The 27,864-nt window shown below is 39.3% G+C and overlaps 1 protein-coding gene across 3 annotated transcripts in view; it reads right to left on the reverse strand.

Annotated features, from left to right (window-relative positions):
* The window catches only part of MTMR7 (myotubularin related protein 7), a 116,558-nt gene extending 94,645 nt beyond the window's left edge, over window positions 1-21,913 (reverse strand). For 2 of the 3 annotated variants that reach the window (NM_004686.5, XM_047422408.1), the window contains exon 1: window positions 21,831-21,913. In NM_004686.5, coding sequence (NP_004677.3) covers window positions 21,831-21,854 — 24 coding nt within the window. In that variant the 5' untranslated portion in view covers window positions 21,855-21,913. Of the gene's footprint in view, window positions 1-15,506; window positions 15,616-21,830 lie in introns of all 3 variants that reach the window. The other variant, XM_047422407.1, reaches the window with a different exon arrangement.
* Between the last annotated feature and the right edge of the window lie 5,951 nt (window positions 21,914-27,864).

Here is a 27,864-nt window from a genome sequence, read left to right on the forward strand (position 1 = left end):
CCATGAAACTAGGGCCACTGTCTGTCTTATTTACCACTGGATCTCCAGGGCCTAAAACTGGCATAGAGAAAGCACTCAAGGAATACTTCCAGAATGTACAAGTGAAAGGATATATGCATCAATAGGGTCTTTAAATGTATCCGTTTAGCTTAAAAGGCAGAATCCCTTCCTTAAACTACCACTACTCAAACTGGGTGAACAGTTCACCGCAACTTGCACAGATCAACTGTACCTTGTTCTAAGTAATGTGTGCTTTGCTACAGGCCCTAAGGAGTAAAATTTACTTTCACAGCTTGGCAATAAATTTATTTCTCCGGGAATCTATGATAAGCAGTGTTTTAATAAATGAAAAAGAGGAGAAAAGTAAACATACAATTTTTATAAAGTTGTCATAGCCTGCCACAAAACATTAAGTGGGGGTTATTTTTAAACCATTTTAAATGGTTGTGGGAGGAAGGGTTGGGTTTATGTCCTGGGAAGTACTTTTACTCCCAGAGGCTTCAACTAGCTGTCCACCAGGGGAAAGGGCACTAGGAAAAATAGTTTAGACTTTTCCTGGCCTAAGAAATATGGTACAAAATGAGCTTCTTGGACTCCCTCTGAGTGCAGTATGAGAATATAAAACTGAACCATCACACGGACAAAGTCACGGAATCTTGGGTGTCTGGTCAAGAGGTTTAATTTCAAGCGTACTTCACAGCTTGTCCTGTTCAGAATGGGAAAAAAAGCAATAAAAATAAGCTTTAAATAAGGATGAGAAAATATATGTACATCTGTGAAAACAAGCATTCCAAATGCTGTTTTTCCTCCAGATGTAAGACAGAAGTGATAACCAAACCTAATCAGTTAATAATGTGAGTTCAATAGGGAAATGTCAAAATTTACTAATAAATAAATAAATAATGGCTCAAGTAGACTTACATAGGAGGTTACAGTTTCACGTCTTTATCATTCCTCACAAGCATATAAATGTTTCAAGGTGTACAGTGCCTTAAAATTGCATCCCTTTTTAAAGCTTTCATGGCAGCACAAATGTAACCCTCTTACTTTCCTCCACTAAAAAGCCAAAGTGTGTTTCCCACTTTCTTCTCCATACTTTCATTCCAAAAAGACTCTCTTTCAGGAATCTAGGGCGATGTCACTGAGGCTTTGCCTCATAGGCCACTGCAGAGGCTTCCTGAGCGAAACTTGACACCTTTCCTAAAATCCATGTGTTTGACGAGATCAATGTTTTTATTAAAGAACAATATGCTCCAAAGTCTGGGTGTGAACTAGAGTTGGGTTACAGGGAGGCATTCTTTGCAGAGTTCCTCCAGAGGAAAAAATATTGAAACTCATTGTGCAGCAGGGAGGTGAATGAGTAGGTCAAATGAAATGTTTGGATTTAGAAAATTCTTTTTATTCTCAAATTTCATGGAAGTTCTTTCAGCATACAAACTTGTGGCCACATCCTTTTGCAATGAGGATGATTATAAAAATAACTTGAAAACAGCTAAAATGTACTATGTGCCATGTTATTTAGTGCTTTAAGTGTATTCTGTTTAGTCTCTAACAAGCTATACGTGAGAAAACCAAAGCTTTCAAGATCATATACCTAGCTATAATAATCAAGATTGTGTGGTATTGGCTAAGGATAGACAAAGATATTAAAGGAATAGAACTGAGAGTCCAGAAATAAATCCAAGCATCTATAAAGAATCAATTTTCAACAAGGGTATGAAGACAATTAAATGGAGTAGGAAAATTACTTTCAATAAATGCTGCTGCGACAACTGGACTTCCACATGCAAAACAATGCATTTGGACCTCTATCTCACACCATATACAAAAATTAACTCAACATAGATCAAAGACCTAAACAGTGTAAATCTCTGTGACCTTGGATTAGGTAATTTCTTAGATATGGCACCTAAAGTATGAGCAACCAAAGGAAAATAGATAAATTGTACTTCATTAGTATTAAAAACCTGTATTTCAAAGATAACAATGAGAAAGACACCTTACAGAATGAAAGAAAATATTTGCAAGTCACATATCGAATTATTTAGTACCCCAAATCCATAAAGAACATTTACAGCTCAACATTAAAAAGACAGATAACCCAATTTAAAAAACAAACAGGAGCTAGAAGCTGTCATCCTCAGCAAACAAATGCAGGAACAGAAAACCAAACATTGCATGTTTTCACTTGTAAGTGGAAGCTGAACGATGAGAACACGTGGACACATCATGGGGAACAACACACACTGGGGCCTGTCAGAGGGGTTGCGAGGGGAGGGAGAACATCAGAAATAAAAGCTAATGGATGCTGGACTTCATACCTAGATGACGAGATGATCTGTACAACAAACCACTCTGACACGTTTATTAATGTAACAAACCTGCACATTTTGCACATGTAACCTGGGACTTAACACAAACGTTGAAGATAATAAAATAAAAAATGAACAAAGAATCTTAACAGATATTTCTCCAAAGAAGACATATGAATAGCTAATAAGCACATAAAAAGATGCTCAACATAATTAGCTACCAGGTACATGCAACTCAAACTACCACAAGATACCGCTTCACACCCATTAGGATAGCTATAATCAAGAGATAACAACAAGTGTTGGTGAGGATATGGAGATACTGGAACCCTCATACATCACTGTTAGGAATATAAAATGCTGCAGCCTCTTTGGAAAACTGTTAGCCTCTCAACAGATTAAGCATGCATTAACATATGATGTAACAATTTCACTCCTGAGTATATACCCAAGAGAACTGATAACATATTTTCACACACAAAGAAATTTATACATAAATGTTCATAGCAGCACTATTCCCAATAAAAAGTAGAAACAACTCAAATATCCATCAACTGATGAATGCATAAACAAATGTGGGGTATATCCATGCAATGGAATATTATTCAGCAATAAAAAGTAATGAAGTACTGATATATGCTACAACACGGATGAACCTTGAAAATCTTAAGTTACGCTTAACTGAAAGAAGCCAGTCACAACGGACCATAAATTGTATGATTCCATTTATATAAAATGTCCTGGATAGGCAAATCTCTAGAGATTGTCCAGGGTGTAGGGAGAGAGAAAGGAGGGATGACTGCTAGTAAATACCAGGTTTCTTTTTGGGGTGGTGAAAATGTTCAGAAATTACATAGAGAGTAGTGATGGTTACATAATGTTGTGAATACATCAAAAACTACTTAAATGTATACTTTTAAATGATGAATTTTATAATATGTAAATATGTTAGTTTTTTAATTATGCCAAAATCAAAAATATATATACGTGGCAGAGTAAGAATTTTAACTGAGTGTCTGACATCAGACCCACAATGCCACCCACTGTCATGCTAATAGTTGATATACATTTGCCAAATTAAGTATTAGTTCATTCGACAAATTCATTCAGTCAGTAAGTATTTACTGAGCAGTGGTTATGTGCCAGGAAATGTATTTTTTTTAAATGTCACAAAATACACATAAAAGATATACTTTAAAGCATTTTAAGCGTATAATTCAGTGGCGTTAAGTACATTCACTGTTGTGTAACCATCACCACTATCAATTTCCAAAACTTTCTCAACCCCTGAAACAAAAACTCTCTAACTATTAAGCAAAAACCCTTATTTTCCCCTACCCTCAGTTCCTCATAACTTTTATTTTACTTTTCATTTCTAAGAATTCTATATACCTCATGTAAGTGGAATCATACATTATCTGTCCTTTTTTTGTCTGGCTTATTTCACTTGTCTTCAATGTCTTCAAGGTTCACCCATATTGTAGCATGTATCAGAACTTCATTCCTTTTCAAGGCTGAATAATATTCCATTGCATGTACATATCATATTCTGTTTATCTGTTCATTTGTTGATGGACTCTTGGATTGTTCCCACCATTTGGCTATTGTGAATAATGCAGCTATGAACATGGGCATACCAGTATCTGTTTGTGTCCCTGTTTTTAATTCTTTGGGGTATATACCCAGGAGTGGAAATGCTGAGTCATATGATAATTCTACATTTAACTTTTTGAGAAACTACCAAAGGGTTTTCCACAGCAGCAGTACCAGTTTACATTATCACCAACAATGCACAAGGGTTCCAATTTCTCCACAACCTTTGCCAACACTTGTTGTTTTCTTTCTTTCTTTTTAAGTAATAGTCATCCTAATGGGTATAAAGTGGTATCTTATTGTGGTTCTGACCTGTATTTCCCTAATGGCTGGTGATGTTGGCTATCTTTTGATGTACTTATTGGCCATTTGTATATCTTCTTTGGAGAAATGTCTATTCAAGTCCTTTGCCCACTGTTTAAACTGGGTTGGCTGTGGTGTTGCACATAAGTATCCAAGTATACAAGTATATTTGTTTGCTTTTTTAAACAGATGTAAACACCTAAGCATAGAAACCAGAAAAAGCAAAGCAGAATCTTTCACATTACAAAGGAGCCATCCAGTATACTTTTAAATACAACATTCTTCTCATACTGGGAAATGTATTTAGAGTCTATGACCTCAATCTTAACAGATATGATAGGGGAAGGTGACAAAGAACAAAGATTAAACTACCGGAAATAAGTATATTTATGTACATGATATAGAATAAAATATTCAATGTTAAATAATATAATAATATCCATCAGGAGATATGGCTGATCATACCAACATACGGTTTATAAAAAAAAAAAAATTCCAGACAAACTATGGGGATGGAAAGAGAGATGACCAAATAGAAGCCTCCACAGATCATCCTGCCTGCAAGAACACCAAGTTTTAACAACTACACACAAAAAAGCACCATCATAAGAACCAAAAATCAGGTGAGCTATTAAAGTACCTGCTTTTAACTTTGTATTGCTGAAAGAGGCACTGACAAGGGTAACAAAGACAGTCTTGAATTGCCGAGGCAACCTGTCCCCCATCCCCTGGTAGTGACTAAGTTCACAGATTCTTTCTCCTACGTGGAAAAAGAATCTGTGCACTTGCGGGAAGGAGAGCATAGCTACTTGAGGACTTGGCATTCAACTCAGTGCTGCCCTACCATAGCAAAGCAAAGATGTGTTGGGCTCAGGGAGTATGTGGACCAGCCTTAGCTAGAGGGAAATTGCCTATCCCAGTGGTCAGAACTTGAATTCTGGCAAGCCTCACTACTGCAGGCTAAAGTGCTCCCAGGTCCTCGGTAAATCTGAAAGGCAATCCGGGACACAGGACTGCAACTCCTAGTCAAGTCCTAATGCTGGGCTGGCTTTAGAGTCAGCGGACTGGGGTAGCGTGTGGCCTAGGGAGACACAAGCTGGGGTGGCTAAGGGAATGCTTGTGCCACCCCTCTCACAACCCCAGGCAGTGCCTCTGGAAGTGACTCCTTCCTTCTGCTTGAGGAGAGGAGAGCAAAGAGTAAAAAGGACTGTCTTGCACCTTCATTAACAACTCAGCTACAAAAGGATCAGATACCAGGCAGAGTTAGTTGTGAGGCCCCCATTCCAGGCCTTAGCTCCCAGATGACATTTCTAGACACACCTTGGGACAGAAGGAAACCTGCCGAATGGAAGAGAAGAACCCAGTCCTAGCGGCATTCATCATCTGCTGACAAAAGAGCTCGGGCCCTGAATAATGAGCAGTGATACCCAGGTAGTACACAGTGGGCCTTGGGTGAGACTGAGGCGTGCTGGCTTCAGGGGAGCCCAGCACATTTGCAGCTGTGGAGGCTATGGAGAGAGACTCCTTGTGCTTGAAAAAAACAGAGGGAAAAGTTAAGGGCACTTTGTCTTGCACCTCAGGTACTAGCTCAGCCATAGCGGGATAGAGTATCACGTGGTCCCTTGGGGTCCCTGATTCCAGGCCAAGGCTCTTGACATCATTTCTGGACCTGCCCTAGGCTAGAGGGGAGCTCAATGCCCTGAAGGGTGGGCTCCAAGCCTCGCAGAATTCACCACAAGCTGACTGAAGAGCCCTTGGGCTTTAAGCGAACGTCGGTGGTGGCCTGCAGAAACCCCATGGACCAGTGGTAGTGGTGGCTACTGGAAGAGGCTCCTCTGCCTGCAGAAAGGAGAGGGAAGAGCAGGACAGACTTTGTCTTGTGTTTTGAGGGCCAGCTTTCCTGCAGTAGAATATAACATGAGGTACGTTTTTAAGGATGTTGACTCCAATCCTTGGCTCCCAGACAACATCTCTGGACCTGCCCAGGGCCTGGGGGAACTCGCCACCCTGAAGGGAAGGACACATGCCTAACTGGCTTCTCCACCTGCTAATGGTGGAGCCCTAGGGCCTTAAGTGAACTTTGGAAGTAGCCAGGTAGTGGTTACAGTGGATCCTGGGCAAGACCCAGTGCTGTGCTGGCTTCAAGTCTGACCCAGTGTAGTCCCAGTGGTGGTGGCCACAGGGGTACTTGTGTCACCCCACTCCCAGCTCCAGATAGTTCAGCAAAGAGAGAATACATTTGTTTGGGAGAAAATAAAGGAAGAGAAAAAGACTATCTCTCTGATAATCCAAATAATTCTTCAGGATCTTATATAAAACCATCAAGGCAGTACCTCCGTGAGTCTGCAAAACATGGGGTTTCTGCAGGCCACCACCGACGTTCGCTTAAAGCCCGAGGGCTCTTGAATACCTGGAAGGTTCCAATAAATATGACAACAAACAAGCCCACACTGCAAAGACTACAATAAATACCTAACTCTTCAATGCCCAGGTACCAACAAACATCCACAAGCATCAAGACCATCCAGGAAAACATGACTTTACCAAATGAACCAAGGCACCAGGAAACAATCCTGGAGAAACAGAGGTATGTGACCCTTCAGACAGACAATTCAAAATTGCAGTGTTGAGGAAACTCAAAGAAATTCAAGTTAACACAGGGAAGGAACTCAAAATTCTACCAGATGAATTTAACAAATAGATTCAAATAATTAAAAAGCATCAAGCAGAAATTCTGGAGTTGAAAAATGCAATTGCTATATTGAAGAATGCATCAGAATCTCTTAATAGCAGAATTGACCAAGTAGAAGAAAAAAATTAGTGAGCTTGAAGACAAGCTATTTGAAAACACACAGTCAGAGGGGACAAAACACAAAGGAGTAAAAAACAATGAGGCATGCCTACAAGATCCAGAAAGCCTCAAACGGGCAAATCTAAGAGTTACTGGCCTTAAAGAGGAGGTAGAGAAAGAAATGGGAATATAAAGTGTATTCAAAGCGATAACCACAAAGAACGTCCCAACCTAAAGAACTATGGTGTGTGAACTACTCTTAAGTAGAAAGATTAAATAACCAATAAAAGATTAAATGAACCAATAAAAAATGGTAACTACAACTTTTCAAGGCATAGTACAATAAGACATCAAGAGATGCAACAAAAAAGTTAAAAAGAAGGGGATATGAAGTGAAAGTGTAGAGTTTTTATTAGTTTTCCTTTTGCACGTCTGTTTGCTCAAGCAATCAGAGCTAGGGCATCATCAATTTAAAATAATGGATGATAGTATTTGCAAGCCTCTGGTAACTTCCGAGGGTTGAGGATAGAAGGAACATACCTCAACATAATAAAAGACATATACAACAGACTCACAGCTAGTATCATACTGAATGGGGAAAAACTGAAAGCCTTTTGTCTACGATCTGGAACACAGGAAGCATGCTCATTGTCACTACAATTATTCAACATAGTACTAGAAGTCCAAGCTAGATCAATCAGACAAGAGAAAAAAAAAATAAAGAGCATCCAAACTGGAAAGGAAAAAGTCAAATTATCCTTGTTTGCAGATGATATGATCTTATATTTGGAAAAACCTAAAGACTCCACCAAAAAACGATTCAAAATGACAAAGAATTCTGTCAAGTTGCAAGATACGAAATCAAAATACGAAAAACAGTAGCGTTCATGTATGCCAACAGTGAACAATGTGAAAAAGAAATCAAGAAAGCAATCCTATTTATAATAGCTACAAATAATATAAAATACCTAGGAAACAATTTAACTTAAGTAAAAGATCTATAAAAGGCAAACTATAAAACGCTGAGGAAAGAAATTAAAGAGGACACACAAAAATGGAAAGATATTCCCTGTTCAAGGATTGGAAGAATAAATATTGTTAAAATGCCCATACAACCCAAAGTAATCTACAAATTCAATACAATCCCTATCAAAATGCCAATGCCACTCTTGACAGAAATAGAAAAAATCCTGAAAGTTATATAGAACAACAAAAGACCTAGAATAGCCAAATGTATTCTGTGCAAAAAGAACAAAACTGGAGGAATCACATTACCTGAAAGGAAATCAGTATGGCCAAGAGATATCCGCACTCCCATGCTTATGGCAGCATTATTCACAGTAGTCGAGATTTGGAAGCAAACTAAGTGGCCATCAACAGACAAATGTATAAAGAAAACATAGTACATATATACAATGGAGCAAGACTCTGTCTCAAAAAAAAAAAAACCAAAAAACTGATAAACATCCATGTATCTAAATTGTTGTGTAAATCTCTATCACCTGAGATTAAATTTCTCAGGTATCTTTTCTGGTTCCATTTCTATATACATTTTAAAGATTTTTGATGCTGTTTGTATGCTTTTCTCTAGGATTGTATCTGCTATTATGGCAGAGGAATACCCTTTAAAAAATTCTTGAGAATTATAGATGAAGTATGGTTTCTCATCAATTTATGTTTATTTGTTTACTGTTGAGATTGAATTTATTTTTTGCAATTATTTATAACAAGAGCAATACAACAATAGTACCGATAGTACTGATAAAAGAAAATTCTGAAATAACACTATAGCTACTGTGCTAGGCACCATTCTAGATTCACATTTATTAAGACGCTTAGACCTCAAAATCACCCTAAGAGGTGAGTACTGTTGTTATCCCCATTTCACAGATGAGGAAACTAAAGTTAAATAAGTTAGTGAGCTGTAAGAGGCAGAGTGAGGATTCAAAACCAGGCATTGTGGCCCCAGAGTGTGTGTTCTTAACAACTCTACCATTTTGCGTTTTGATGTTGAGAACAGGAAAGAAAATGCAGTTTAGGATCCCAGCGGCCTTACAATGCTATCTCCAGGCCCTCTGGAGTCCTGTGTGCTTCCCTGCCTCTAGAGTAATGGGCTACCTCTACATTATCAAGCGTTACCCTTGGTTTTTCTTGTCGTTGCAATTTGATTTTATCAAAAGAACAAACCTCAGTACTGTTTTGATTTAGACCGGTTTAAAGATGGATTCTTATCTAATTGTCAGACTTTTATTGCACAATATTTAACAGCTGTTGAGGAGGTAGTCACTGTAATCAAATACGCTCTTACTCAAAAGACAAGGCTGATAAGATAAGTTTGCTGGAATGAAGCAATCCACTTAAAAGTGTAGATGTGGCAGTATTTCTTTTTTAAGTTTTCCAAGTAAGAATAGATTGTCTAAGCCAAGTAATCACAGAAGTTGTGATTAAACATTCCTCAAAAATCGCCCACATTTCATGAAATCCTCACTTTTAACAGGTCTAGCAAAAGTTGAAGTCTGGTGGTCTTGCATGGAGGCTTGGGTGTACAGAACACACGGTCTGTTATAGAACCTAATAATCCATATTCATTCATTCAGTGTTGTATATAAATGCAGCTAGCTGCCAGGTACCTTTGCAATTCGGGGGATACGGAATGTATGCATGTGTGTGGTATGTGTATGTGTGTAGGTGTGTATGTATGTTACAGAAAAAATGCTATGGAGAAAAATATAAAGAGGTAAAGTATGTTGGTTGAGGTGAGTTAGGATTGTTATTTTATATGTGATGATAAATTGGCTTTCTTGATAAAATAACATTTGAGCAAAGATCTAAAAAAGTGTGGGAGCAAACCATCTGCACATCTAAGGAAAGCAAGTTCCAGGCACAGGAAACATCTCGTGCAAAGGTGTTGAAAAAGGAGTGTGCCTGGGTATCCAGGGAGTAGTGGTCAAGCAGTGAGGTCCAAGAACAGGGAGTGGGGTAGTTGTGGGAAATGAGATTTGAGAGGGAGAAGGGGCAGATAAGGTATAGAATTTCCCTCTGGGTGTGAGGAGACCCACGAAAGAAGTCCAAGCTCCAAATTATATTTAACAGTATCTCTGGCAAAAATAAACTGGTGGGGGAGCGGCAAAAATGAAAAGGGGACCAGGAAAGAGTTGATAGTATTTCAGAACAGGGTGGTAGGAATGGAGGTGCGATAACCTGGATATATTTTAAAAGTAGAGTGCTGAGGATTTACTATTGGCATAGATATGGAAGGAGAGAAAAAGAGGAGTGAAGGGTAACTCCAAAGTTATTGGCTCCAGCACTGGAAGGGTGAAATGCCAAGATTGGAAAGAGCACAAGAGGAGAAAATTGGGTGTGAGACGAGAGGGAATCAGCTCAGTTTGGGACATAGTGAAATTGAGGTACCTATTAGATATACAAATTATTTTAATAAGATCCAGGTACTATGAATCTTATGCATATTATGGATCTTATGGATAAGTACCTTATCTTAAGGAACTATGGAATGACAATACAAAACATATTTTATAGGGTTATTTTTTAAATCATGTATACTTTACAAAGGTCTCAAATTCTTTTGAAAGTAGTCTGATATAAACAAGACATAATAAATTCAGTCTATCAATAAAATTCTGGAAAATTATTTTTAAAAATTTTTTTAACTTTTCTGAGCACATAGTAGGTCTATATATTTATGGAGTATGTGAGATACTTTGATACAGGCATGCGTTGTGTAATAATCACATCATGGTAAATGGGGTATCTAGCTCCTGAAACGTTTATTCTTTGTGTTACAAACAATCCAGTTATACTCTTTTAGTTACTTTAAAATGCTAAATTATTATTATTTATTAAATTATTATTCACCCTGTTGTGCTATCAAATACTAGGTCTTACTCATTCTTTCTAACTACTTTCTGTAGCCGTTAACAATTGCCACTATCCGCCCTCACCTGCCCCAGACCCCACTACCTTCCCCAGCCTCTGATAACCATCCTTCTACCCTCTGTCTCCATGTGTTCAATTGTTTTAATTTTTAGCTCCCACAAATAAGCGAGAATATGTGAAGTTTGTCTTTCTGTAGCTGGCTTCTTTCACTTAGCACAATGACCTTCAGTCCCATCCATGTTGCTGCAAATGACGGGATCTCCTCCTTTTTTATGCCTGAATAGTACTCCATTGTATATATGTACTACGTTTTCTTTATACATTCGTCTGTTGATGGCCACTTAGTTTGCTTCCAAATCTCGACTTCTGTGAATAATGCTGCCATAAGCATGGGAGCACAGGTATCTCTTGGACATACTCATATATAACCAGTAGTGGGCTTGCTGGATTGTATTTTAGCTCTGTTTTTAGTTTTTTGAGGAACCTCCAAACAGTTCTCCATAGTGATTGTACTAATTTACATTCCCACCAACAGTGCATGAGAGTTCCCTTTTCTTCTTATCCTTGCCAGCATTTGTTATTGCCTGTCTTCTGGATAAAAGCCATTTTAACTGGGGTGATACAGTATCTCACTGTACTTTTGATTTTCACTTCTCTGATGGTTCCTGATGTTGAGCACCTTTTCATATACCTGCCTGCCATTTGTATGTCTTCCTTTGAGAAATGTCTATTTAGAAATTTTGTCTATTTTTAAATCAGATTATTAGATTTTTTTTCCTATAGAGTTGTTTGAGCCCCTTATATATTCTGGTTATTACTCCCTTGTCAGATGGATAGTTTACAAATATTTTCTCCCATTCTGTGGGTTGTCTCTTTGCTTTGTTGGTTGTTTCCTTTGCTGTGAAGAAGCTTTTTAACTTGGTAGGGCAAGATATATGGGTCTAGTTTCATTCTTCTGCATATGGATATCCAGTTTTCTAAGCACCATTTATTGAAGAGACTGTCTTTTTCCCAATATATGTCATTGGCACTATTTTCGAAAACAAGTCCACTGTAGGTGTGTGGATTTGTTTCTGGGTTTCTTTTTCTGTTCCAGCGGTCTATGTCTCTGTTTTTATGCCAATACCATACTGTTTTGGTTACGGTAGCTCTGTAGTATAATTTGAAGTCAGGTATGTGATTCCTCCAGTTTTGTTCTTTTTGCACAGAATACATTTGGCTATTCTGGGTCTTTTGTTACTCTATGTAACTTTTATGATTTTTTCTATTTCTGTCAAGAATGGCATTGGCATTTTGATAAGGATTGTAAATTTGTAGATTGCTTTGGGTTGTATGGACATTTTAACAATATTTATTCTTCCAATCCATGAACATGGAATATCTTTTCAGTTTTTGTGTGTCCTCTTCAATTTCTTTCATCAGCGTTTTATAGTTTGCCTTTTATAGATCTTTTACTTCTTAGGTTAAATTGTTTCCTAGGTATTTTATATTATTTGTAGCTATTATAAATAGGATTGGTCTCTTGATTTCTTTTTCACATTGTTCACTGTTGGCATACATGAACGCTACTGCTTTTTGTATTTTGATTTCGTATCTTGCAACTTGACAGAATTCTTTGTCAGTTCCAATCTTTTTTTGGTGGAGTCTTTAGGTTTTTCCAAATATAAGATCATATCATCTGCAAACAAGGATAATTTGACTGTTTCCTTTCCAGTTTAGATGCTTTCTGTGTGAGGAGACCCACGAAAGAAGTCCAAGCTCCAAATTATATTTAACAGTATCTCTGGCAAAAATAAACTGGTGGGGGAGTGGCAAAAATGGAAAGGGGACCAGGCAAGAGTTGACAGTATTTCAGAATAGGGTGGTAGGAACGGAGGTGGGATAACCTGGATAAGGTGAGGATTTACTATTGGAATAGATATGGGAGGAGATAAAAAGAGGATTGAAGGATAACTCCAAAGTTATTGGCTCCAGCACTGGAACGGTGGATCGCCGAGATTGGAAAGAGTACAAGAGGAGAAAATTGGGTGTGAAGCGAGAGGGAATTAGTTCAGTTTGGGACATAGTGAAATTGAGGTACCTATTAGATATACAAATTATTTTCTTAATAAGATCCAGGTACTATGAATCTTATAGATATTATGGATCTTATCAGTACTATCAGTACTATTATTGTATTGCTCTTGTTACAAACAATTGCAAAAAATAAATTCAATCTCAACAGTAAACAAACATAAATTGATGAGAAACCATACTTCATCTACAATTCTCAAGAATTTTTTAAAGGGTATTCCTCTGCCATACTAGCAGACACAATCCTAGAGGAAAACATACAAACAGCATCAAAAATCTTTAAAATATATATAGAAATGAAACCAGAAAAGATACCTGAGAAACTTAATCTCAGGTAATAGAGACTTACCCAACAATTTAAATACATTGATGTTTATCAGGTTTTTTTGTTGGTGGTTGGTTTTGTTTTGTTGTTGTTTTGTTTTTGTTTTGTTTTGTTGAGACGGAGTCTTGCTCTGTAGCCCAAGCTGGAGTGCAGCGGCGCGATCTCAGCTCACTGCAACCTCTGCCTCCGAGGTTTAAGTGATTCTCCTGCCTCAGCCTCCAGAGTAGCTAGGATTACAAGCACTGGCCGCTATGACTGGCTAATTTTTGTATTTTATATTAGTAGAGACAGGTTTGTAAATTAGTAGAGACAGGATTTCACCATGTTGGCCAGGCTGGCCCTGAACTTCTGACCTCAAACGATCCGTCCGCCTTGGCCTCCCAAAGTGTTGGGATTACAGGCGTGAGCCACTGCGCCCAGCCTATCAGTTATTTATTATAGTGACAATATAGAGATAAATTAAATATCAAATACTAGGGGATTCACTGTCAAGAACTAGGAAGTGTTTGAAATTTGAACCTGCTTACAACCTAACAAGTAGCCTCCCAGTGTTTCATATGCTGGCAGAAGACACAAGACTTCTGGGTCAGAGACAAAGGACATTCGTATTCCTGTACACCAGGAGGGAGAAGCTTTATCTTCATATTGACTCTCCACGCTCCCCCTCCCAAGTCTAAGGGGCAATATGGAGCAGTCCATATGGATGCTGCACAGAGCAGGGCTCTGAGTCCTAGATGAGGAACTTTAGAGACTCAGAGTTTAAGAAATGCCCATCACATAAACAGGATGCAAGTAATCCTTTGTGAGGATGACATTATCTTTATTACCCCGGACAGCAAATAAATATGCCCTCTGCTACTAAGGAAGAAGCTATTCCTCTCTTTCAAGGCTGTTCACTATAAAATCATCCTTGAAAAGATAGTATAGAACAAAAGTGCAAAACTGCAAAAGGCCATGGAGAATTGCCTCCAGACACTAAATAATGTATGGTCATCATCATAATGTGGACTATGTGGTTAAAAAAAAAATCACTTTTCAGAAGGTTTAATAAAATGAGAAAAATATTTTGACATATTAAAAAACAGGTTCTCATTCCCCAAAACTATACACACACACACACACACACACACACACACACACACACACACACCACAGAGAAAATGGACATGATTTTCTTTTAAATTACACTGTTTTATATATGTAAAGAAAAATGTTAATATATACACAGCATTTTTTCTGGATTTATGCAAATATTTCTGGATTTATGCAAATATCTGAAATTATGCAAAATTACTATTTTCTTTCTGCTCCTTTGAACTAAATTTTCTGTAATGTATGACTTTTATAATCAGAAAAAGGCTTTCTAGAAAATATACATAGATATGACACAAAAAGCACAAGTGACAAAAGAAAAAATAAGTTGGACTTCATCAAAATTCAAAACTTCTTGTGCTTCAAGAGACATCAAAACAGTGAAAAGAAAACCTACAGAACGGGAGGAAACATTTACAAGTCATATAACTGACTAAGGATTTGTATCCAGATTACATAATTTTGCAACCCAATAATTTAATAAAAATAACTCAAGAAAGAAACAAAGGAATTGAATAAGCATTTCTCCAAAAAAGACAGGAAAATGGTTGATAAGCACACGAAAACATGCTCAATATCATTAGTCATTAGAAAAACACAAATCAAAACCAGGATGAGATACCACTTCACACCCACCTGAATGGCTAAAATAAAAAACAATGACAAGTGTCAGTGATGATATGGAAAAACTGGAACCCTTACACATTATTGTCGGGGTTCTGAAATAGTGCAGCCACTTTGGAAAACAATTTGGCAGTGCCTTAAAATGATAACCACAAAGTTGCTATACGATTCACCAAATTCTGTTCTCAGAGAAATGAAATTCTATCCAAGAGAAATACAAACATACGTCCACACAAAAACTTATCACCGAAGTTTATAGCAGCATTATTCATAATTGCCAAAAAATCTCCCTCAACTGATAAATGTATAAACAAAATGCAGGATTAGCCACAGAACAGATAAAACGAAATGAAGTACTGATACATGCTACAACTTAGACAAACCTTAAAAACATTAAGTGAAAAGAAGAGGTCACAAAAGGCCACATATTGTATGATTAAATTTAAAATGTCCAGAAAAACAAACATATATAGAGACAGAATGTATATTTAGTGGTTACCTTGGGTGGGGTGAGGGAGAAATGGAGACTGAATGCCAATGGGTATAGTGTTTCTCTTTGGAGTAATGAAAATGTTCTGAAATTAGATAATGATGATGGTGGTACAACTCTGTGAATATACCAAAAAATCACAAAATTGCATACTTTAGAAAGGTAAATTTTATGCTAGGTAAATTATACTTCAATAAAGCTATTGAAATACACACACTATACACACACACTAAATCACCCATTATTAAAATGGGGAAAATATAAATAGATAATTCAAAAAGTAACAAAATGGTCAGTAAACATATTTTTGGAAAAACTTCAACCTCGCTGGTAAAAAAAAATACACTAAAAGAATGAAGTGCTATTCTCCCCTTTAAATTAGCAAAAAATAACCTTAAATAAGAAAGCAATGGAATGGTATAGTAAGAAACATAGTCTATATTCTATTAATGAAAGTGTTAAATGACATAACGTTTTCGGAAAGTCATTTGGTAATATATACCAACTATAAAACTATTCATCTTCTTTGACACAGTAATTCCATCTAGGGTTCTATTCTAGGGAAGAAATCACATGCAGATAATAATGAGATGTTCATCAGGACATTATTATAATAGCCCTAAAATGGGGAAGTGGTAAATATAATGACATTTCCATAGGATTAAAAAAAAAAGCCCCACATAACCTTCTAAAAGTATGTTTTGAACACTGAAATATGGTACGTTTAAAGAAGCAAACTACAAAATTGAACTGGGTGATCCTAAATTTCTAAGCAAACAATGTTTAGTGCACGCAAAGAAAAAAAACACCAGAAGAAAATGTACCCAAATATTAAAAGTGGCTAATTTCTACATGTAGTCCATATTACTTTTATAACCAGAAAATTATTATTTGCTAAAGGAAGATAAAAGAAGAGATAACCCTTGGAGCTGACAGTATACTGACAGTGAATGATCAAGAGAAGGCAAACCTCATGGATCTGCTGATGTCCGTCTATCACAGACAGAACTTGAAAATGAGATCACTATTTGCCCACGGTGAAAACAGAATTGTATAATTATAAGTTGTTGAGTTCAACACTAATTCTGGCAGGGTTCTAAAATGAGTTATTTAATGGACCTTTGTATGAACCTAAAAAGTGGAAACCATCAATCAGCAAGAACATCATGGAGAGGCCGGGCGCGGTGGCTCACGCCTGTAATCCCAGCACTTTGGGAGGCCGAGGCGGGCGGACCACGAGGTCAGGAGATCGAGACCATCCCGGCTAAAACGGTGAAACCCCGTCTCTACTAAAAATACAAAAATTAGCCGGGCGTAGTGGCGGGCGCCTGTAGTCCCACCTACTTGGGAGGCTGAGGCAGGAGAATGGCGTGAACCCGGGAGGCGGAGCTTGCAGTGAGCCGAGATTGCGCCACTGCAGTCCACAGTCCGGCCTGGGCGACAGAGCGAGACTCCGTCTCAAAAAAAAAAAAAAAAAAAAAAAGAACATCATGGATTCACCGTCATTATTTCAGAAGACTTCCTTTCTTTCTTTGATGAGCTCTTTGGCGACGTGATGAAGGACAAACTTATCAACTGCTAGATGACATCAAACTGAGAGAACTACTGAATCTGCTATTAGGATCAAGATCCTGAGAGATGGGGGCAAGTGGCTTAAGAAGTCACTTCTGCTCTTGGATAAGACAATGAATGAGGTAACAGAAAGCAAGCTGATTAAATAGTGGATGGTACCAAACTGACAGGAACAGCAGATGTGTATCAGCATCCAAAAAAGAGTAAGAGATGAGCAAAAGTCTAAATTCAATGAGATAATATTCAACGTAGAGAAGTATAAGATATTATCATCAAGCCTAACTACTAATGGGTAACTTGATGGGCATCATCAAGTTTAACTACTAATGGGCTAACTACTAATGGATTTCTTTTGGGGGTGACAAAAGTGTTCTAGAACCAGATGGTGGTGATGTCTGCACAATATGTAAATATACTAAAACCACTGAATTGTGCATTTTAATAAAAATGGTGAATTTTACATTATTTGAATTTTATCTCATTAAATATATATAATTGCAAAATATGTTTCATATATATCTCACATATTATGTCAGATACACTGACATCCACAAATATTTCACACTAATACTATAAGATCCACAACACTGTCAAGTAGTATTGTATACAACTGTACAATGCACAAGAGGCCTGGATTAATAAAGCAAATTCTTAAAAATAAAGTAATGAGGCTGGGCACAGTGGCTCAAACCTGCAATCCCAGCACTTTGGGAGGCCAAGGCAAGTGGATCACCTGAGGTCAGGAGTTCAAGACCAGTCTGGCCAACATAGTGAAACCCCTGTCTCTACTAAAAATCTAAAAATTACCTAGGTGTAGCGGCACGTGCTTGTAGCCCCAGCTACTCGGGAGGCTGAGGCAGGAGAATCACCTGAACCCAGGAGATGGAGTCAAGTTTCAGTGAGCCAAGATCACACCAGTGCACTCCAGCCTGGGCCACAGAGCAAGACTCGGCCTCAAAAACAAACAAACAAACAAAAAGTAATGAATTAATTATGCATTCTTCACTAATTCAATTCTGAATTTATTTACTGCATGCTTAGTTGGTCCCAAGCACTGTGTTAGGTGCTATAGATACAAAGGGTGAACAAAATATAATCCCTACCATTACAGGACTTCCATCAAGCAGGGGAGCTTGACATTAAATGAACATAACTCAAATAAATTTAACAATTGTAATGAGGAACCTAAGGGGAAAACACAAGGTGTTATGATAAAATACAACAGGCAGATCTGATTTAGATGGGGGAGTTGGACAACAGCCTGAGAAATCACAATTTGAAACTAGAAAGATGAGGTATTTAGCCAGGTGAAGAGTGAGAACTAACGTCCCCCAGATGGAACAGCAGTGCAAAAGTCCCGAGGCAGAAAAGAACTGGTCCCACTGGAGAACTCTGTGAAGACAAGTTGTGATCAGAGGGTTGTGGATAAGAAGATGATTGTCACAAAACGAGGCTGGAGAAGTAGGAAGGGCTCAGTCTACAAAGGGCCTTACGAGCAGTTCTGAGGATTCTCACTTTATATCCTGGGTACAAAGGGAAGCCACCTAGGAAACTTAGCAGGGAAGTAGCATGATCAATTTGAGACATAAAAGCATCATCCAGGCCCCTCTGTGAGAAAGGGATTAGAAAAGAGCAAAAAAAAATAAATCAGGAGACCAGTCAGGGTCAGACTAGGGGGTAGGTGTACCAAGGAAGAGAAGACATTTGCAAGGTCTGTTTTGGAGGTTATCACGTATTCTATTTCATAACTCAAATTTACACATGTGGGAAAAATGCCTTCCAGAAAGACCAAAGCATATAAAGTAGAAATCACTTACCAGGATCCTGGACACATTTGCCTCAATCTAGTACCAAACTAAATCCTACAAACACTTCAAGCTACTTCCAGGAGCCCTGAAGTCTTTTCATTTAATTAAGCAGCACTTGAACCCAAATTATGCCTAAGCTTCCAGCAAGTTTTCAGAGTGGTAAGGAAACCCAGACAGTGAAGTAGAAACCTAGAAGTTCACTGGGATGAGTACAGGTAATACTTGGTGTCCCCCCTTTAACCCAACTGCAAACCAGCCTGTCCTTGGAACTTTTTTTTCCCCTCTAGAGGAACCATTCTGGAAGGGAAGCACTCTGCTTAGCATATGCTCTGTTAAAGGCTTCAGTTAAACATACATGCACCCCTAGAAAGAAATATGTGCAAAGCATTCCAGATTATGCACGTGCATCTGTCTCCTTAAACTGCACTCCAGAGACTAAAGCAGAACACAGAGGCTGTCATGGATATTACACAGTCTACAGCGAGTGAATGACTTCCATTGTAACAGAAAAGCAACTGTACATTATACATGCATACAATTCTTTTCCTCTTAAAACTCTACTACCCACACAGTAAATATTGCTATAAACCCACAGTGGGCCAGAAAAACAAACTTTGTATACACTCCTTGCAAACCCAAGACATGAAACCATGAAATCGAAGGAAATTTACCTATAGTTTCACCAAGTATAATGGAAGCAAATAATAAAGATGAATATGACCAGTAACAATTATATATTTAACTCTGCAAGCTCTGTAAGTAATGTTGTTCTCTTTTTCATTTAGACTGTGAAAATTAATTTTGCCCTTAAAAATGTAAAACAAAAGGAGGATGTTATTTAACCTCAAGGAATCATTTATCTTTGACCATTGTTATTGTTTTCAGTTTCTTTAGGGTTGTAATTATTTATTACAATATATATTTATACAAGTACATGACCACTGTTGAAAATGCTCCTAGTCCTCCTTAAGTCCTTCCATGTTAAGACGGCTCTTCTAAGAAGGCTTCCCTTGACCTTGAGGGCAGAGCTGATCCTCTCTTCAGTCTCCCTCTCTACCCACTGCACCTTGCACATGTCTCTATCATACACTGACATATTTACAACTGCCTCCCCTTAGAGATTGTGAGTTCCTGGACGCTTCCAGCACTTAACACAGAGCCTGGCACATGAAAGGTTCTAAATGCTTGTAGAATAAAATAAATGAATAAATGAATCCGATCCATCCAACCTCTGTAATTTCTTATTTTTTTCACCAGCTTTATCCCAAATGTTAATGACTCACCCAATTCAGTAACACTTCAGACAATTTTCCATTTTCCCCCAATTTGTTTCCATTTCCAGATAAATAAGGATTTCTGACTTCAAGTACTGCACTGCTTAGAGGGTATCCATAAACACCAATTTTAAGAGTAAGAACACTGCTTGCAACTCAGGTTCACACGTGACTTTGTACCAGGTGGCTTTGTATATAGAACAGAAAAGGCCTTGACTCCCCCAAATTCATATTCTCTAACAAAGTGGCATCCACTGCCATGTCACTGTATCATTCTTGCTATCAATATCCACAACAGCTATCACTTTTACAAACGGCTCCCTTCATCATGGAAGGAGGAAGAATGCCCTTGGCAAGGGCAGAGTCCATGAGTTAAATTCACCCTTCTGGAATAAATTATTTAGTACCACTTAAACTCTGAAAGCTTTGAGCCACCTATTCTGTGGTTTGTAGCATTGTCTTCTAAGTTTACAATTTCATGATTGTGAAGCGACAACTTAATTCCCTAGTGCAAAATCAATACAATTTAAATTTACTGTCGGAACTGACATTCTCCAGCAAACTAAAAGATTTCTTCTTCCAATGACATGAGATCATTTTAATCTGCTTTTACAAAAAGGTACTCAGGAACTATTCCAAAATTTAGGAATCAATTCTTGCTGGCCATAAAGCAATTGCCCCCACCCCTCTTAAATGTGTGGGATCCCTGGAACCACCTGAGCTATGGCCACTCTGACCTAGCTTTGACCTGTCAGGGGCCTACATTTTGAATGGAAGTTCATCCTGCAAAAACGCAAGGAGCTGTGGTGGTAGTAACAACAGACAGCCAATAGGGTTTTTAAGCATATTCTTTCACTCGTTTAGGGTTTTTATCATGCAGTAACGTCGATCATCATTTTCATTCTAAATTAGATTATCAGTACAACTGAGGAGGAAGATTTGGTACAGCGATCAACGTTTCCAATGTTAATTTACTGGAGTGATCAGGGACCATTTGCTTTTGTTAATTAGCAAAAGCTGGTGTTGTTAAAACACAACAGTGCGTGACGAATCCGTAAGCTGCATCCTTTTCTCTAACGAACAAAACGGACTGGAAAAGGCAAGAACACACCATCATTCAACCTACAATGAATATTGATTATCCGTTCTGTGTAAGGCCCCTTGCAGCTGCTACGCTCAGGATGAGGATGCTGACTGGGAAGGCCGAGCCGGGTGGGCCTGACACCCTAGATTTAACAAGCTTCCAAGCGCAGGAGTCCCTCTGCATTTAGCTCGTTTTCCTTGCACCTGTCACCGAAAGGCTTATTTCCCTTTCAACTACTCTGAGCGGCCAACAGCTAAAAGAGAAAGCCTCGTGCCAGGAGAAAGAAGGGTTGATCTACACCCAGTTACTAGCAGACAACTGAGGTTCCCTCCCGTTCACCCTTGTGTCCACTGCGCTCCCCCAAAACCAAGAGGTCAGACCCAGCAGCAGCTAAGGCTAGGCCTGGGAGGCAGCAAGAGAACGACCGGGCTCGCAGGCACCCCGGGATGCTCAGGCAATGCCTGCTCCTCCCTCGCCCGCGGTCCAGGCTCCGCCGGTGCCCCTCAAAGCAGTCGGCCTCCCGCGCGCTCAGCATCCCTCCTCCTCCTCCCCCATCTCCTCCCGTCCCTCCTCCGCCCGCGCTGGTGTCACCAACCTTGGGCGTACGGATGTGCTCCATGGCTGGCCCACGTCTGCAGGGTCCCGGGCGGGCGCGGCCTCACGCACCTGCGCGCCTCTGCGGCGCGATGGGAGGGGCGCGGGGAGGGGGCTTCGCGCCCGGGAGTGGGCGGGACGCGGTCTTGGCTCCGCCCCCAGGTGTTCCGCGCGCGGCGTGCGGACCCGGGGCTCCCGCGCGGCCCTAGAGAGCCCACCTCCGCGCCTGCGCCCACCTGCGCCGCCGCCGCGACGCGCCTCTGCCTGGGGTTGCCGGGGCGAGGGCTGCTCGCTCTCTCTTAACAGGGGCAGCCGGCGGAGCACTATACGGCCACTGTTCTCCGAGACACAAAGAGGGCCTTGTTTTGGGTGTGGCCTCCTGGAAGAGAGATGGGGAGTACAGGCTGCTCCACACCGTCCCTGGGCTTCCTTCTAGGGCGTCCTGGGATAGCTAGGATTTCAGGGTGGGGCAGAAAAGAAGGCTGCCACAGACACTCTAGACCCAGGACGGTCTTGTAGGCTCAATGTGTGTGTTTCATCCCAGGCGCGGCCGGCATAGCGCTCGGGGTGCGGGTGGAAATAATAGCAGCAGTGTTAGCGCCTTGGTAAGCGCGCTCCTAAGTCAGGCATCTCACATCCACCTGCGACTTCACTGTTGCAGGCGACACTTTTCCCCTGGCACAGTGTTGGGTGCTCATTTGCCCTCTTTATTTAGCTCCAACTGAACTGAGAGATAGAGATACAAAGCATCCATTATGCGGTACCATTTCCCTATTGATGGTATTAACAGTAGTTGGTGCCATTGTTAGCGTTAGGCCTCTTGGGAAAAGCCAAAGAGAGGAAGAACGCCCTCCATTTTTTTTTTCTTGCAGCCCTAAGAGTACAATGCTCCACCATAAGTGAAATTTTATAGAATTCTACATAGTTCTGTTCAATTTTTTCCTCGCTCTTACTCATCTTTCAGGCTGGATTGTGATTTTTTTTTTTTTTCCGTAGAGACTCTGCTTACCGTTTTTTTATCTAATACCTGGACACATTGCAGCCTTCCAGCAAATAATTAATACGGTGTTGAATTTATTTTTAAAATTCCAGATCCCTCTTTCACAGGTCTTCTACCATTTCATCCTCCTACTGCTTTGGGAGGCAATTAGAACAAGTTTACCATTAGTTTACATTATTAGAAGAACTACTCTGGAAAGCCACAGCTGATTCTTTTGGAAGTGAAAAGAACACTTTCGTTGTTGTTGTCACATAAAGCCACTGAACTTTAACGCTGAATTGAGCCTAGCCTATACTATGTTGAAGTGGAAAGGGAATTTGAGAGTCAAAATAATGCACTGTCTCTACCTTTGTGTTTGTGATTTTTTTAAAGAGGGAGTTGGTAATGCCTTTAAAGATCTCTAGGGACACCTAACCATAAGCAAGACCTAAACTACTTGATTGCAAGTTACCAAACGTCTTCTAGAGAATTCTTCTTATGCAACTTTTATCACATAGATAATTCAGTTGCAAATACTTTTGCTAACAGAATTTTAAAATACAACCTTGATTTTAACTGGGCATTTTCCCAAAATCCTGTGATATTCAATGGCCTGAGGAGATTTGAATTCTTATCAAAAACACTTGCAAGACTTTTTCCAGAATACTTATATTTCTCTTGAGGCAAGGCAAACTTCTGATTTGGCAGTGAGACCAAACCCTGTTTCCTTAGGGATGGTATTGCTAATTATTACAAACTCAATACGATCCTATTCAGCGTAATTAAACCCAAATGGACCATATTATAAGTGGAGGAGGGAACACATCTCTGAATAAACTCAGCCTCATCTGGAGTCACTCAGTATGATAGGGTCAGAGCTGCATTTGGGGTTCTGCCTGGCAAAAAGTAAAAGCGGCCTCTCTTCAGGATTTTTATGAACTCAATGATGCAATGTATCAATGTCTCTGTTGGCCTTGCCCTATAACAAAGATGTGGAGGAAAAGCACTCAGTGGATTGCAGTCAGCTCTGCCCTTTTTCTAGCAGCCAAAAGGGAAATTCTAGGGCAGCATGAAAAGAGTGTTTACTCTGTGAACAGTCAAGGCTTTAAAATAGCCTCCTCCCAAAACTGTGAAACTGCTGGAATAAAACATAGGGGAAACTCTTCAAGACATTGGTCTTGGCGAGGATTTTTGGGATAAGAACTCAAAAGCATAGGCAGCAAAGGCAGAAAGAGACAAATGGGATTACATTAAATTTAAAAGCTTCTATACAATAAAGGAAACGACAGAGTAAAGAGACAGCCTACACAAGGGGAGAAAATATTTGCAAACTACGCATTTGCCAAGGGGTTAATATCCAGAATATAAAAGGAATTCAAACAACTCAACAGCAGAAAAACCAAATAGTCTGATTTAAAAATGGGCAAAAAAAACTGAACAGAGATTTCTCAATATGAGACCTACAAATGACTAACAGGTCTATGAAAAAATACTCAGTATCACTAATGATTAGGAAAATGCAAATCAAAACCACAGTGAGCTATCACCTCACCCCAATTAGACTGACTATGATCAAAAAGACTAACAATAACTAATGCTGGCAAGGAGGCAAAGAAATGGGAACCCTTATGCACTGTTGGCAGGACTGTAAATTAGTACAGCCATTATAGAAAACAGTATAGAGCTTCCTCAAAAAATGAAAAATAGAGCTACCGTACGATCCAGCAATCTCACCAGTGGGTATTTATCCAAAGGAAATGAAATCACTATGTTGAAGAAATATCTGCACTCCCATGTTTATTGCAGCACTATTCACAATGGCCAAATATGAAATCAACCTAACTGTCCATCAATGGATGAATAGATAAAGAACATTTTGTAGAGATACATAGTGTAATACTATCCAGCCACAAAGAATGAAACCCTGTCATTTGTGACAATATGGATGAACCTTGAGGACATTATAAGTGAAATAAGCAAGGCACAGAAAGACCCATACCGTGTGATCCCACTCATTTGTGGAATCTTAAAAAGCTGATCTCATGGGCGTCCAGAGTAAAATACTGGCTACCAGAGGCTAGGGAAAATCGGGGAGAGGTGGGTATGTGAAGAGATGGGTCAGTGAGTACAAAATTACAGTTAGATGGAAAGAATAAGTTCTGGTGTTTTATTCCATAGTATGGTGACTATAGTTAACAATATTTTATTGTATATCTGAAAATAACTAGAAAAGAGGACTTTGAATGTTCTCACCACAAAGAAATGATCAATGTTTGAGGTGATGGATATGCTAATTACCCTGATTAGCTCATTACACAGTGTATATGTGTATCAAAATATCACACTGTATCCCATAAATATGTGCAATTATATGTTGATTACATATAAGAATAAAACCTTTTATAATAAAATATTTTAACATTTAAAAATAATTAAAACAGCAAAGTAGTCTCCTGTATTTTGTTCTGCCTTCAGGAAGGCATACAACTCAAGTTCAAGACTGTGTCTTCAGAACACTTATTTCATTTCCTTTTTTTTTTTTTTTTTTTTTTTTTTTTTTTTGAGATGAATCTCACTGTTGCCCAGGCTAGAGTGCAGGGGCACAATGTCATCTTACTGCAAACTCTGCCTCTCAGGTTCAAGCAATTCTGTGCCTCAGCTTCCCGAGTAGCTGGATTACAGGCATCTGCCACCATGCCTAGCTAATCTTTGTATTTTTTAGTAGAGACAGGTTTACACCATGTTGGCCAGGCTGGTCTCGAACTGCTGACCTCAAGTGATCCACCCACCTCGGCCTCTCAAAGTGCTGGGATTGCAGGCGTGAGTCACCACATGCACCCAGGACACTTATTTTCTTATTCCCTTCCCACTTCTATCCTTTCAACCATCACTTGGATGCAGATAATTCCTGTATCAGTATTTCCAGTCCTGGATTCTCTTCCTACAAGCCATATTATATTTCTGTCTACCTGCTGAGTACCTCTACTTGGATGTCCCATCAATAACCCTAATGTCACAAACCAGATAAAGTGAAAAACATGGGTTCTGAAGGCAGAAAGACCTATATTCAAATCACGACTCTGGCACGTGTTAGCTGTGTGACCTGAACCAAGTTATTTAACCACTCTCAGTTTTAAGCTTCTTGCCTATAAGATGGAATAATGATAATGCTATGTTTGCGTCTCCCCAAAATGCGTATGTTGAAATCCTAACAACCAAGTGGATGGTATCAGGAGATGGGACCTTTGGGAAGTGGAACCTTCAGGAGGGATGCGGACAATAAAAATGCCGTGGTCTGAGTGTTTGTGTTTCCCCAAAATGCAAATGTTAAAATGTTAAGTGCCAAGATGATGATATTAAGAGATGAGACCTTTGGGGGGTGGGGTCTTTGGGATTCACTAAACTGCCCTCATGAATGAGATGAGTGCCCTTCTAAAAAGAGGCCTGAGAAAAACCTCTTACATCTTCCACCATGTGAAGCTACAGTGAAAAGACAGCCGTCTATGAATCCAGAAGCAGGCTCTCATCAGACACTGAATTGGCCAGCACCTTGATTTTGGACTTCCCAGCCTCCAGAACCATGATAAATAAATTCCTATTCTTTATAAGCCATTCTGCTTATGGTATTTTGTTACAGCAGCCTGAATGGACTAAGACAGATAATATCTGTAGCGATAATATCTGTAAAAAAAAAAAATCTGTTCCTCAGGTTGAGTAGTTGGCATATATATGGGTATTCATCATAGTATTTCCTATATTTTTATACATGCCTTAGGTAGGTCAAAATGAAAATAGAATTAATAGCAAAAATGAGGGATCATTATACTTCCTTGTTAAGGGTGGACGTGTCAATTTACTGAAATTGAGCATAAGACATTTTACATGACAAATATTTATTGAGTGTTCATCTAATGCCAAGCACTGCGGACAAAAGTATGATCAAAACAATCACAGTCCCTGCCCTCAAGGTGTTTCAGTGTAATAATATCAGCCTTATTATTATCTCTTGCCTACTACCAACTCCTCCTCTCGATTTCATTATTTCTTTCATTGATCTCAATTACTCAAGCTCAAAGCCTTGGAGTTGTTTTTGGCTCATCTCTCCTACTGGCCTCCATATCAGGGCAGATGCATTTTCCTCTTCTACAGCATTTCTCCATCCCATCCTTCTCTTCCTTTTTCACTGTCATGACTCTAGTTCAGATCCTCTAGTTCAGCTCTAGTTCAGACTCTAGGTCATAACATATTGCTTCTTCCTGGCTGGAATATTAGCCTCTGCTGCCAGATTAATCTTCATGAAAACCACCCTAACCATATCACTCTCCAGCTTAAAAACCTTCAAGTGGTTTATAATTGCCTTGTGAATTATTTCCTTACTCTGTCCTTTAAGGCTCAGACTGCTGTCTTTTACAAACTCAGCCAAGTAAGTCACTGGCATTTAGTAGGTGCTCAATACTGTTTTTTTTGTTTTTTTGTTTTTTTGAGATGGAGTCTCGCTCTGTCGCCCAGGCTGGAGTGCAGTGGTGCGATCTCAGCTCACTGCAAGCTCCACCTCCTGGGTTCACACCATTCTCCTGCCTCAGCCTTCCCAGTAGCCGGACTACAGGCGCCCGCCACCACGCCCGGCTAATTTTTTTTTTTTTTTTTTTTTGTATTTTTAGTAGAGACAGGGTTTCACCGTGTTAGCCAGGATGGTCTCGATCTCCTGACCTCATGATCCTCCCCCCTCAGCCTCCCAAAGTGCTGGGATTACAGGTGCGAGCCTCTGCACGCAGCCTAGATACATACTTTTAAATGTATCAATTAGTCAACCAATCCCTTTCTATATCCTGCACTTGCAAATTATTTCTATGTCTTCGCTCATGCTGTTCCACGTCTATCAAATTCTTTGAGGTTCATGTCAAAATTCATTTGAACATTCCCACCAGATGCAGTTCTTCCAAAGTAACTCTTGTCTGTTCATTTCAATGAGCAGAGATGATCATAAGCAGTTTATTTTCATCTGTCACAACTTTTCCACGAGGACCTTGATCAGTACATTATGCTAAGGCTACTA

This window comes from Homo sapiens, chromosome 8 (assembly GCF_000001405.40).
Source record: "Homo sapiens chromosome 8, GRCh38.p14 Primary Assembly".
Classification (NCBI taxonomy): domain Eukaryota; kingdom Metazoa; phylum Chordata; class Mammalia; order Primates; family Hominidae; genus Homo; species Homo sapiens.